Source organism: Homo sapiens, chromosome 6 (genome assembly GCF_000001405.40).
Source record: "Homo sapiens chromosome 6, GRCh38.p14 Primary Assembly".
NCBI lineage: Eukaryota > Metazoa > Chordata > Mammalia > Primates > Hominidae > Homo > Homo sapiens.
The window spans coordinates 143,410,941-143,422,805 of record NC_000006.12 but is presented as its reverse complement, the minus strand read 5'-3'; positions in this window follow the sequence as shown (position 1 = coordinate 143,422,805).

Below are 11,865 nucleotides of genomic sequence, written 5' to 3'. Positions count from 1 at the left end.
ACTGTCTCTGTTTTACATCAAGTAAGCTGAGGCACAGGGAGATTATGTAACTTGCCCAAGGTCACAGAGTGCTAAGTGATCACATCACTCAGAAGGAGCTAGTTAAACCAATGTAACAGCCTTCAAGTTTTAGTGGCTTAGAACCAAAGCTTATTTTTCTCATGCCTTGCTTCTTGTCCATCTCAGGTCAGGCCAGGAGCCTAGGCTAAAGGAAACTTCACCACCGGGGACATCAGCTGCTGTGGCCAGAGAAGAGAACATGGTGAATAATGCTTCATACCTTAGGGCAGGGCTTCTCAAACTTAAACGTGCATAGGCATCTCCTGGGGAGCTTATTAAATTCACATTCTGATTCAGGAGGTCCTGGAGGGCCTGAGATGCCATGTTTCTATCAACCTTCTAGGTGATGCCCATAGTGCTGGACCATGGGCCACACTTTGAGTAAGGAGGGCTTCCTGGCTTTTGCCCAGAAGTGACACATCACTTTTGCTCTCAAAAGAATTAAAGCAAGTCACATGGCCATGCCCAACTTCAAGGCAGCAGATAATATAATCCATTAACTACATCAGGGAGAAGAGAATTGGAATTTTTGTGAACAGCTCCAATGAAGAGCAAACAATGTGAAGCTAGGATCTGAATTCAGGCAGGCTGGCCCCAGAGTCTGTGCTCTTAATTATAACTATATACAGTCATGGGTGTTGGTCCATTCTCTATAAAGAGAATGCCTGCCAGGCAGACAGCTAGTCAGGGAGTTACAGTTGACTTGTGTGACTTGACACCGGGTGACTTAGGCAGCTTTAGAGTTCAGTGCAGCAGTTCTCAGCATGGTGCTGCAACTCTGAAGTGTTTCAATTCATTTTTTTATCTTAAAGTGCCAACATTTATGAATTATTGTTAAATTAAAAACATAGCTGGGAGCGGTGGCTCACACCTGTAATCCCAGCACTTTGGGAGGCCGAGGCAGGTGGATTGCTTGAGCTCCTGAGTTCGAGACCAACCAAAGCAACATGGTGAGGACCTTGTCTTTACAAAAAATACAAAAAATTAACCAGGGTGGTAGAGCGCTCCTGTAGTCCCAGCTACTTGGGAGGCTGAGGTGGGAGGATTGCTTGACCCAGGAAACAGAGGTTGCAATGAGTACCTCTGCGCTCCAGCCTGGGTGACACAGCAAGGCAACGTCTCAAAAGAAAAAATTAATTTTTTTGAGACAGAGTCTCGCTCTGTCACCCAGGCTGGAGTGCAGTGGCGCGATCTCGGCTCACTGCAAGCTCCGCCTCCCGGGTTCACGCCATTCTCCTGCCTCAGCCTCCCGAGTAGCTGAGACTACAGGCACCCGCCACCACGCCTGGCTAATTTTTTGTGTGTTTTTAGTAGAGATGGGGTTTCAGTGTTCACCAGGATGGTTTCGATCTCCTGACCTCGTGGTCCACCCGCCTCAGCCTCCCAAAGTGCTGGGATTATAGGCATGAGCCACCCCGCCCAACCTTTTAATTAATTATTTTTAAAAACATACCTTTTAGTAGAATCAAGCCTCTATACTCTCTCATCTAACATTCTGCTATGCTTTCTTGTTTTGGAGAAGGGGAAGGGTTAAAGGCTGGAACTGATGGTCTGGAAGAGTCCTAGGCTTGTAGTCAGCACAACAAACTCAATTCCCAGATGGTGTTGGCTGAGAATATGCAGATATGAGCCTGCTGCCTGTACCCATAACTGGGAACTTCTAATATGGTCATAAACTACTGAGTATTGTGTGTGGGAGTGGTGGGTCTCAGGCCCACATTAAAGTCTTAAATAGAGAAAAATGGACTGGATTACCGTCAGCAGAGTGCTGAGAGAATATTACATCTCCTTTGATTGACCTTTTGATGTCCACAGAAAGCCCACATCCCGTGCCTGCAGCCACCCACTTTGCTGTCACTTCCCAGCTGAAGTGAGGAGGGACTGTTCAGAAACATCGAACTGAGCAAGGTCTCTGTCTACCTCATGGAAAACCTGATCTGGAAATGACACTTGGAATAAAATAAGATTACTCTTCCATTAAAAGGAAATCCACCCAAAAGAGAGAAATAGTGGTATATTTCAGTTTTACATAATAATTTCTAGAGATAAGATAACCCATTGCATTAGTTGATTCAGTTACCAATTTAGCTAAGTGTGAGGGAGAACATGGGCCTTGACTTTTTTTCTTTCAGAAAATCAAGTTTGCCATATTGAAAAATGCTGTCAGCTCTGCCCACCGGTTCTGTCATTAATCATGGGAAGAGCTGATCAGGTTTTGATTGTTTCTCCAGAGGCACTTTTGTCATGTAATGCATATATTTCAATTAAAATATGCAGGAGAATGCAAAGTTAATAATTAAGGGAAAATAATAAAGTGTTGCCATTGCTATTAATTACTAAACCAAAACCTACAGTGTGATTTTTAAAAATTAATGGAACAGATAGAATTCTACTGTTTGCTAGTTTTAATCCTAGTCTCAGAAGGTATTACCAGTTATCTCTCTTGGATGTTTGTGCCCTTTGGAAATGACCTATTACTAACTCCACCAGTAATCCTGACTTCATATGCAATTGCTGTCAGCTCTTAATCTAGCTTGGGCTGGCATTGTTAGAAAGTCATTTCTTTCTATGACATTTCTATATTGGAGGCCTGAATAAATGAAGGATGTCTGATTTTTATGTCAGCAATGTCACCATCATGATTCAAATGCTAAAGAATTTCAGGAAAGATTAAATTTCCTCTTGACCTGAGAGGAGTCCCATCCTCTTAGTGATGAGTTCCACAGGTAAGCCTGATACACTGCCTGGGGTTCTCTTATCCTAAGCACATTTATCAGCTTCATAGACCTCAAGGATTATGTTACTTTTCCCCCTCAACGTTCCACAATCTCTATGAAATCTTTCCCAATTACTCCAGCCCACAATAATCGTTTTCTTCAAACTCCTACTTAGTGTCACATAGTTTAATACTCAATTGGTCTCTAATTACAGTACTTAGATTGTAAGCTCCTCAAAAGCAAGGATTTAGCCCAATGATAGGCCCAGAGGTGGTTTCTGTAAATGCTGAGTGATGGATTTGCAGTTCTGGACGGTTTCCAGTAAGCAGGACAAATGGGTGAATTGGCACCACCGAGAGGACGCTGTCGTGGATTACTGAGCAGGCCCTCTGTTTACCGGGGGCTTTGCAAAGGTCATAGCTGCCAGACAGTTGGCCAGCCACAGTGGCTCAGCTTAGGCCCCCAGATGTTTTCCTCCAGCCCATTGGAAACCAACATTTTGGACTAGGGCTTGCAATTATTCAAATTTGGTATTGAGAAGTCAGAAAGAACAAGCAGTAGAGGGGCAGGAAGGTAAAATATTTTATTTTGATTTTTTTTGAGACAGAGTCTTGCTCTGTCACCCAGGCTGGAGTGCACTGGCATGATCTTGGCTCACTACAAACCCCACCTCCCAGGTTCACGCCATTCTCCTACCACAGCCTCCTGAGTAGCTGGGACTACAGGCAGCTACCACCATGCCTGGCTAATTTTTTGTATTTTTAGTAGTGACGGGGTTTCACTGCGTTAGCCAGGATGGTCTCGATCTCCTGACCTCATGATACGCCTGCCTCGGCCTCCCAAAGTTCTGGGATTATAGGCGTGAGCCACCGCGCCTGGCCAGGAAGGTAAAATTTTTATATCTGCTTTGCTAGGAGCTAACTTAACTGTGGAGGCATAAAAATGAAAGGGAGGACATGTTACATATTTAACAGCAAGTGCTGTGCTGTGTAGACATTTATATAACTCTCTTGCTAGGTTAGTCCAGAAGCTGGATTAATATTTTAATCATATTCTCTTGAGAGGAAAAGGCAGCTGGTGAAATTGTTGGAGGTGACATGCCAATCTACATAGAAACCAAGTGTGGTTTGGAGACCACCATGGAAATAATAACTTCAGTCATTAAGTGGAGAATGAAAGGAAGAAAGAAACCAGATAAGTTTTCCAGGATCAAGAAGTTATTTTTATTATAAACTAACCTTAGGGAGACCATAGGCTTTATTATTATTTCAACATTTAAATTCAAATACTGATGGTTCTGTCTCTTCACTGGTGATTGCTCTTGGCAATAGCAGAGTTAGCAATGAGTGCAATAGAACATCCTTCATCTTTATTTTTAAGTTGTCATTTTAATTGTGGATATAAACTTGTTATGTAGGCAAAGTATGGCAAGGAGTACACAACACGATTCATACAGGCTTTCTCCTGTGAACTTGACTACCCACGGCCTGAATTCTAACAGTTGGCATAAGTTCGCTGGCATCCTGAAATCTAAAGGAAAAGGCCCTTCTCCTTTTTTGTTTCCCTGCAGACATAGATAACACCAAATCTTTACAATGGTCTGTAACTGGCACTAGCAACAAGCGTCTGGAGTATAACATGGGTTAGGCTCTGGGAAAGTTATCTTTTGCTTGGGAACGCCCATCCAATGGAAATTGATGTTTATATTATTAACTGGGAATTTGTTTGTGCTTCTGAATTTTGTGGGATTAAGACTGGTGCTATGATATTCTCATGTGTTCTGTTGACCCTTAGGTATTTTAGAAAAGAGGAAACTGAGAGTCTTAGGGTTGAAATAATCAAACTTTGGAGGTGCTAAGGCGCTACTCCAATTATATTGGCAGATGGCCCAGGGTGCAGCTGCTAAAGAATGATCCCAGAGTCCACCCAGATCCCCAAATACCATCTCTTCTGCCTGTAACTGAGCCAGTAAAAGGAAAAAGGGTAGAGAGCAGAACTTTGGACTGAGATTTCTCTGTGGGAGCAACAGATTGAATTGATAATGGGAAAATGTTCATATTGTTAACGTTTATAAGGTGGCAGTAAATTTCAAGAATTTTATAGCGCTGGCATATTATTTGGGCCATATTTTCATCTGGTGCTCTTTGTTCACCCTGCTTGGTCGGGTAACATACTGAGAGGATTTGAGATGAGCAAGATAATTGGGGCTCATCGTGGCATTGTGGCTGATGTAATCAATGTCCTGATCTGTTTCAGCAGCTTCTGGGGGCCACAACAAAGACACATTGATGAAGACCCTCTCTTTAACATTGGGAGGATATGGAGGAAGAGAGGTAAGGACTGAGGAAGTGGTTCCATGAAGGAAGGACAGGATATTCTTGAATTCTCTCCTGATCTCGTTACCTGAGGAGGACAGCAGCACTGAGGGTAGACTATGGCTCCAGTGGTTAATTTCACCAGATTAAGAAGAGACATAGCCAAAAAAGGAAGAACATTGGTGTGTAAGGGAGGGACAGTCACTTCTTTGTTCATGCTATTAGTTGATTAGGTAAAGATCATTTGATTTGTCTCTGTGCTAGTGGGCAGAACTACAGTGTACAGTTGAAAGTCACTTTGGACTCTCTTTTCTCATAAAAGGAAGGGTGAGATGGCTTGCAAGTAGGCTGAGAAACATTATTCTTGACATTTGTCCAAACTCTCTGCCTCCTGTCCTTCTCTCTCATGGGTGTGGTTTTTCTTCACATTTGGGTATGAAATCTGAGATTCCATTTCTGATCTCTACTTAGGATGACCATAGGTAGTTCAGTACTAGTGACCTGTTTTGAATCAAGGCCTATTAGGCTCACCTAGCTTAGGTAGAGCATGGTCCACAGAATCTAGGCTCACTAGAAATGGAGCTGACAGAAGGCAGACTCATCTGTTAGAATAACTAGTAATAGCTAATGTTTATTGACTATCGTGTGCCAGGCATGGCTCTAAGGACTTTGCAGCTATAATTTCATATAATCCTTGCAGTAACCTTGGGAGGTTACTGTTCTTATCCCCACTTAAGGAGTGACGAAAGAGAGCTTTATGGAGTTTAATGCTCACATCACAAAACCAGTGAGTAGCAGAACCAGAATTTTAACTCCAGAGCTCACATTTCCTAACCATCATACTAAACTATTTCAAAAAGTTTATCCAAATAGGAAAAGAACAAAAAGGACGGTGATGAGTGTCATTTTCTGTCCAGTCCTCCAGGGGAACAAAACCTCATAACTTGGGTTTTTGTTTTTAAGGTAGAGTCTTACTCTGTCGCCCAAGCTGGAATGCAGTGGTGCGATCTCAGCTCACCGCAACCTCCGCCTCCTGGGTTCAAGCAATTCTCCTGCTTCAGCCTCCCGAGTAGCTGGGATTACAAGCATCCACCACCATGCCCAACTAATTTTTTTGTATTTTTAGTAGAGACAGAGTTTTGCCATGTTGACCAGGATGGTCTGAAACTCCTGGCCTCAAGTGATCCGCCCGCCTTGCCCTCCCAAAGTGATGGGATTACAGGCGCAAGGCACCGTTCCTGGTCATAGCTTGGGTTTATTCATGAGGCTAGCCTTTGGCTTCTCTCAGCAGGCTGTAAGTTTGAATGTCTTTGTCTACTCTGTGTTGGGGTGCGGGGGTGGAATTTTTTTTTTTTTAATTTTAACAAAGTAACTCTTCTAGAGAGAAATGAACACTTCTACTCATGAGAACAGGTCCCAGGATACTTAAACTTATAGCTTAAAAAACACAGTTGGGCCAACATCTTGGTCCTTTACAAAAACTGGAAGTAAAATTTCATGATTTTGTAAACATTTTCAATGAGACAGGTCTTGTTCAGAATCCACAGATGAATTTCTAATACTTTTGCGTTTCTATAAGTGTTTCTCCAAAAGAACAGAACATATTATCATTGTTTTTGCTGTTGTGGTTAGCATTAGGTATTGTTCTAAGTGATTTACATATATTTTCCCACTTACATTGAAATGTGTATAAGAGGTACTACCATCATGTATTACTTATCTATTGTTACAGCAATGCTGTGTAACAAAAAATGCATAAAACCTCAGTGGCATACAAGCTGTCATGATTGGCTAAAGAGATCTTGGCCTGTCTTGATGGTGCTGGCTCATGACATGTAGAGTTTGGCTCACTGAAGACTGATCTAGCCTGGTCTTGGTTGGGATGAATGGAGCAATTCAGCTCCCCCATGTGTCTCTCAGCCTCCAATAGGCTGGGCTGATTATGTTCTGTTGGCGATTGCAGAGCTACAAGCTCTGATCACAAGCTCCAGAGAAGCCTAATTGCATAAATCCATTTCAACCTCTGCTTGCAACCTGTCTGTTTGGCTAAGCCTAAAGATGTGGCTTTCATCCTTAATGGACTCCATCCATCCCTTCGGAGAGCACTGGAAAATGGCATGGCAGAAGGTCTGGATATAGAGAATGGTGAACAGTTGGGCCCACTGCTGCAATCTATGACGTATCCTCATTTTACATATAGAGAAACTAAGGCCTAGATAATAAGTGGCTTCCCTAGGGTCACATGATAGTAAGTGGCAAAGCTGGAATTTCAACCTGGGTTTGTCTTTCCTCAAAGCTGAAGCTCTTAAAGATGTAGTATAAAGGCAAGATTTAGAAACTAGCTGTGTCTCAAATTCCTTTCCAGATATGAACAAACTTTTAACTCCCTTTTTATGCATTTTCACCAATGAAGACAAAATGCAGCTGTTGATATTAGGTAATGTGAATGCTGTGAAGAGTAATTAATGTTAGTAAATTCTCTGAAAAAGTGTTGGTGTTATGATCAAAGAAATATATACTTTAAAATCACTGACCTCCTTTTACACTTTGTATTCTTTTAGAGCTCTCTCATTTGCCATAGTTTAGAAATGTAATGACTGTAAAATCTCTTTGTAAAAAAATTTTTAATAACTTTTTTAGAGATGGGGGTCTCGCTTGTTGCCCAGGCTGGAATGCAGTGGTTATTCACAGGTATGATCATAATGCACTGCAGTCTCCTACTCCTGGCTTCAAGTGCTCCTCTTGAAATTGACTACTCAGCTTCCCAAGTAGCTGGGACTACAGGTAAGTACCACCGTGCCCGGCTTAAAATCTCTTAATATTCTTCACTCCCCTCCCTCTCAAATCAACATGGCAGTGTCCTAGTTTGCCTATATTAGCAGTAATTATAAGTGAAAATGATACCCTGTACAAACTGCTTTTTTAAAAAATAATAGTAACTCCAATCAATGGTGTCCAGCTTTTAAAAATGATAGTAACATCTTTAAGACTATACAAAAAGCTGCACATTTTAACAATTGACAAATGTGGATTTATATCAACTGCCCCTTTAACAGATGTGTCCCAGCCTAATTTTGCTTTGTAACTTACTTGCTACTGTTGTTATTCCTTTTTCCTATTAAGTCAATTTCATGGCACATGTTTTGAAGAAAGTTCACTTTATATACTTCTATTGACCCTAGAAGCAAAATAGCATAAGGGCACATTCAGACACACTGCTTGCCAAAACTGCATTCCTAAAGGATAAATTATTTGGGGTACCCTTTTGGCTCTTGGCCCTCTGGTCCTGTCCTGGACCATTGGCAATATAACAGAGACAGCTTTCTGCTTCTCAAGAAAGGATTTTTTTTACATCATCAGAAAACATCAAGTGAATCAAGAAAGAATAGAGCTCTGAGGACCACTGAAGATTCATGAGGATCTTTGTGAATGCTCTGCAGATGAAAAAGGTATTGGGGATCACTTTGAAATATGGAGTTAGGGAGGGAGACTATGAAGAAAAAAGAAAAAAACTTGGAGAGAAGGAACACCTTGAAGATGAAGACATTGCATCTAGAATGAAGGGTGAAAAAAAAGCTGATACATTTCAATCAATGTACAAGTGATTGGAGCAGACTGAGAAATTCAATTCAGATTCTTTGTGAACATAAAAGTTTTGTGAACCTGAGTATATGTTTTATCTTCTCATCCTGGTTTCCAACATTAGGTGGCTCTGACCTGCTCTCCCACAAGAGTGTAAATTCAGCAAGGGTAGGGGCTATATACATGTCTTGACTGGGGTTATTGTCAAGGGTAGCCCAATGTGTTATGTTTGGCATGCACTAAATAAATATTTGTTAGCCAAATTTACCAGTAACCAACTAATACTTCTGGTGTTTTCCTCTGGTAAGAACTCAGAAACTGCCTTTACCTTGTACAACAAGAGAAAAATCCGTGAGTTGGATGTAAAGCAGAAATTAAATAAAATATAATTCCAGTATTTAATTGTGTCCCAAAGGAAATGTATCTTATTATAGTGGAGAGGGAAGGAAGGAACATCACTGTAAATCAAAGGACCTGTCTTCTTTTCGCTCTGGTTTTGATCTTAGTCATGTGATCTAACAGCAGTTTTCCCCTGTATGCAACAGGAATAACAAATGATGTGTCATATATGAAAACGCTTCAGGAAAAAAAGTGCCAAATTAATCCCGGGTACTACCATTATAAAAGGCATAAGTTAAACTGGTAAGAGTAATACCAGATAACTCAAATCAATTGTGCTAAAGCCAGAGCCAGTATCATGTCTTTTTCATCTTATCCACAACTTCAACGCCTAACACAGTGCATGGTCAATAGCTGACACTCAGAATGTCTTTACAGAATTAATGACTCATCCTTAACTACAATATAGAATCAAAGATAGTCTCAGATAATTATTCTAGTTCCTTTGTTTTAGAGATGAAGATTTTCATATATACTTATTATCATGCAGTTACAGAAGATACATAAAATAAATACTCAAATTTTAAAGAATTTTTTTGCTGAAACAATAATGGAAGTAGTGGTATTTGTTGATTCAGTGAAAATTTTCAGTCTGATTACAGTGTACATAAGTGGTCTAAGATATATAGGGTCATAAGACACAGTTTCTGCCCTTAAAAACTTCCTATCTCTTTGTTTTACAAGACATCATGAGCCCCCTGCCTCAAATTAAACAGTAATAAAAGGCAACAGGAGAGCCCTAGTTGAGTTTTTTTTGGATGAAAGGGACAGACGTTTACTCTGGCTAACTTTAGGGGGGAAAAATATGTGACTCACAGAAATGAAGGAAATCTGGGGGGCCAAGTGCAGGAAAGACAAGGTTCTGTACCTACCAGGATCGAGGGGTAGGGCCTTCAAGACAGGTTTACCAGGACCCTGCACCCAGAATGGGTATCTATCCATTTCCTTCTTTGTTCACTTCATTCAAGATTCACATTTCTGGGAGAGAAAGTACAGTTGGCATGGCTAGGGATACATGGCTCACTCCTTGGCCAGGGAAGAATAGCTAGGCAAGACTGATGAAATGGGGATTGTGTAGTTCCCCAAAGCGCAACTGGAGTACAACTAGGAGATGCAGTGGATCCTCCCAACAGTTAGTATTCTTAAAGTACAGAGAAGGGAGATTCTGGTGAGACTTTACAGAGAAGGGACGTTCTGGTGAGACTTTAAAGGGGCTTAAGCTAGACCTTTAAGGATGAGTAAGAATGAAATAAATGAGGAGGAGGGAACATTTCAGGTGGTGTTAAATGAGGAGAAAAGGCTTGTAGTTAAGATAGAGTCAGATGTCCCCACCAGAGTCAGAAGTGGCAAAATGGAGAAGAAGATGATTATTCCTTGGAATTGTGTCAATAGGAAAGTAAGGATAATGCTAAGTTTAAAGGGACAGATAATTCTGGCAGAGAAACAGCAAGTATAGAGATAACTAAATAGCAAATATTTGGGAAAAGCTTAAAGGAGACATATGTACTTTTGAAAGAAAATCCAAAATAAAGGATATGCTGGAAGAACCTTCTAGACATGAGATTGAGAACCCAAGTGAGGGGGTGAATCTTGAGGAAGGATAGAGTCCCTGCTTGTTCAGAGGCTGGAGCATAGGGTGGATGAATGTTGAGATATCAGTACAATGATTTGGATGACACTTATTCTAGATATACCAGATCTTACCAATATAAGGTAGAAGTCACTGCCAAGGGAAGGAGTACAGTGTTGGATGAGGACTCAGAGGTGAAGGTGCTTTGGGATCTCTACTGTGGTCAGAGTACATAGGGATCAACAGGGAGTCAGTAAAAGATGACAAAACAGGCCAGGCGTGGTGGCTCACACCTGTAATCTCAGCACTTAGGGAGGTCAAGGCGGCCAGATGACTTGAGGTCAGGGGTTCAAGACAAGCCTGGCCAACATGCCTGGCCAATTTTTAGGAGAGATAAAACCCTGTCTCTACTAAAAATGCAAAAATTAGCTGGGCATGGTTGCACGCACTTGGGAGGCTGAAACACAAGAATCGCTTGAACCCAGGAGGCAGAGGTTGCAGTGAGCTGAGATCTGCCACTGCACTCCAGCCTGGGCAACAGAGTGAAACTCCATTTCAAAAAAAAAAAAAAAAAGATGGCAAAACAACATCTCTGTCTAAGTTAAAATTAGCATGAATTTCAGTTGCTTTTCCAAATGACTGGATGGAAACACTTTTTGGTTAATATTCAAAAGCTAGGGTTTCCAAAACTTTGGAGCAGATTATAAAGATAAGATAATTTATTCAGGAATTTAGCCTTTGTTCCTAGACTTAAAGGATTATTGGAAATATTTGGAAGACAGCAGGGTGGCATATTTTATTTGTGATATTTTGTGTCCCTTATATAAATGGAGACGTTGCCACAGAAGTGTCTTGATTTTATATCCTTTTCATAAAATAAATGCATTACTAGAAACACCAGACATTGCAGTGTTTTACTGAAATAGGATCCTGTTTAGCTATACTCACCCTTTTTCTATGCTTGCCCATTATTTTTCCTGGAGTTACCTCAAAAAATGGATTAAAGGAAAAAGCATGAACCTACAAGCAATCCTTAACCTCAAATATTTGATCTATGTCATCACATTTAAGTAGTTCAGAATCTGTTTGGAAAAGATAAATGCGAGACTTTGGCTTCTCTTTGCCCCTTTGAAAGAGTCAACATTGTTAAGGCTTATTATTAAGCCAGATTTTTCCCATGCCTAAGTCACCCAGCAGTGGCCCTTTCTCAGTCTGCCTAAGG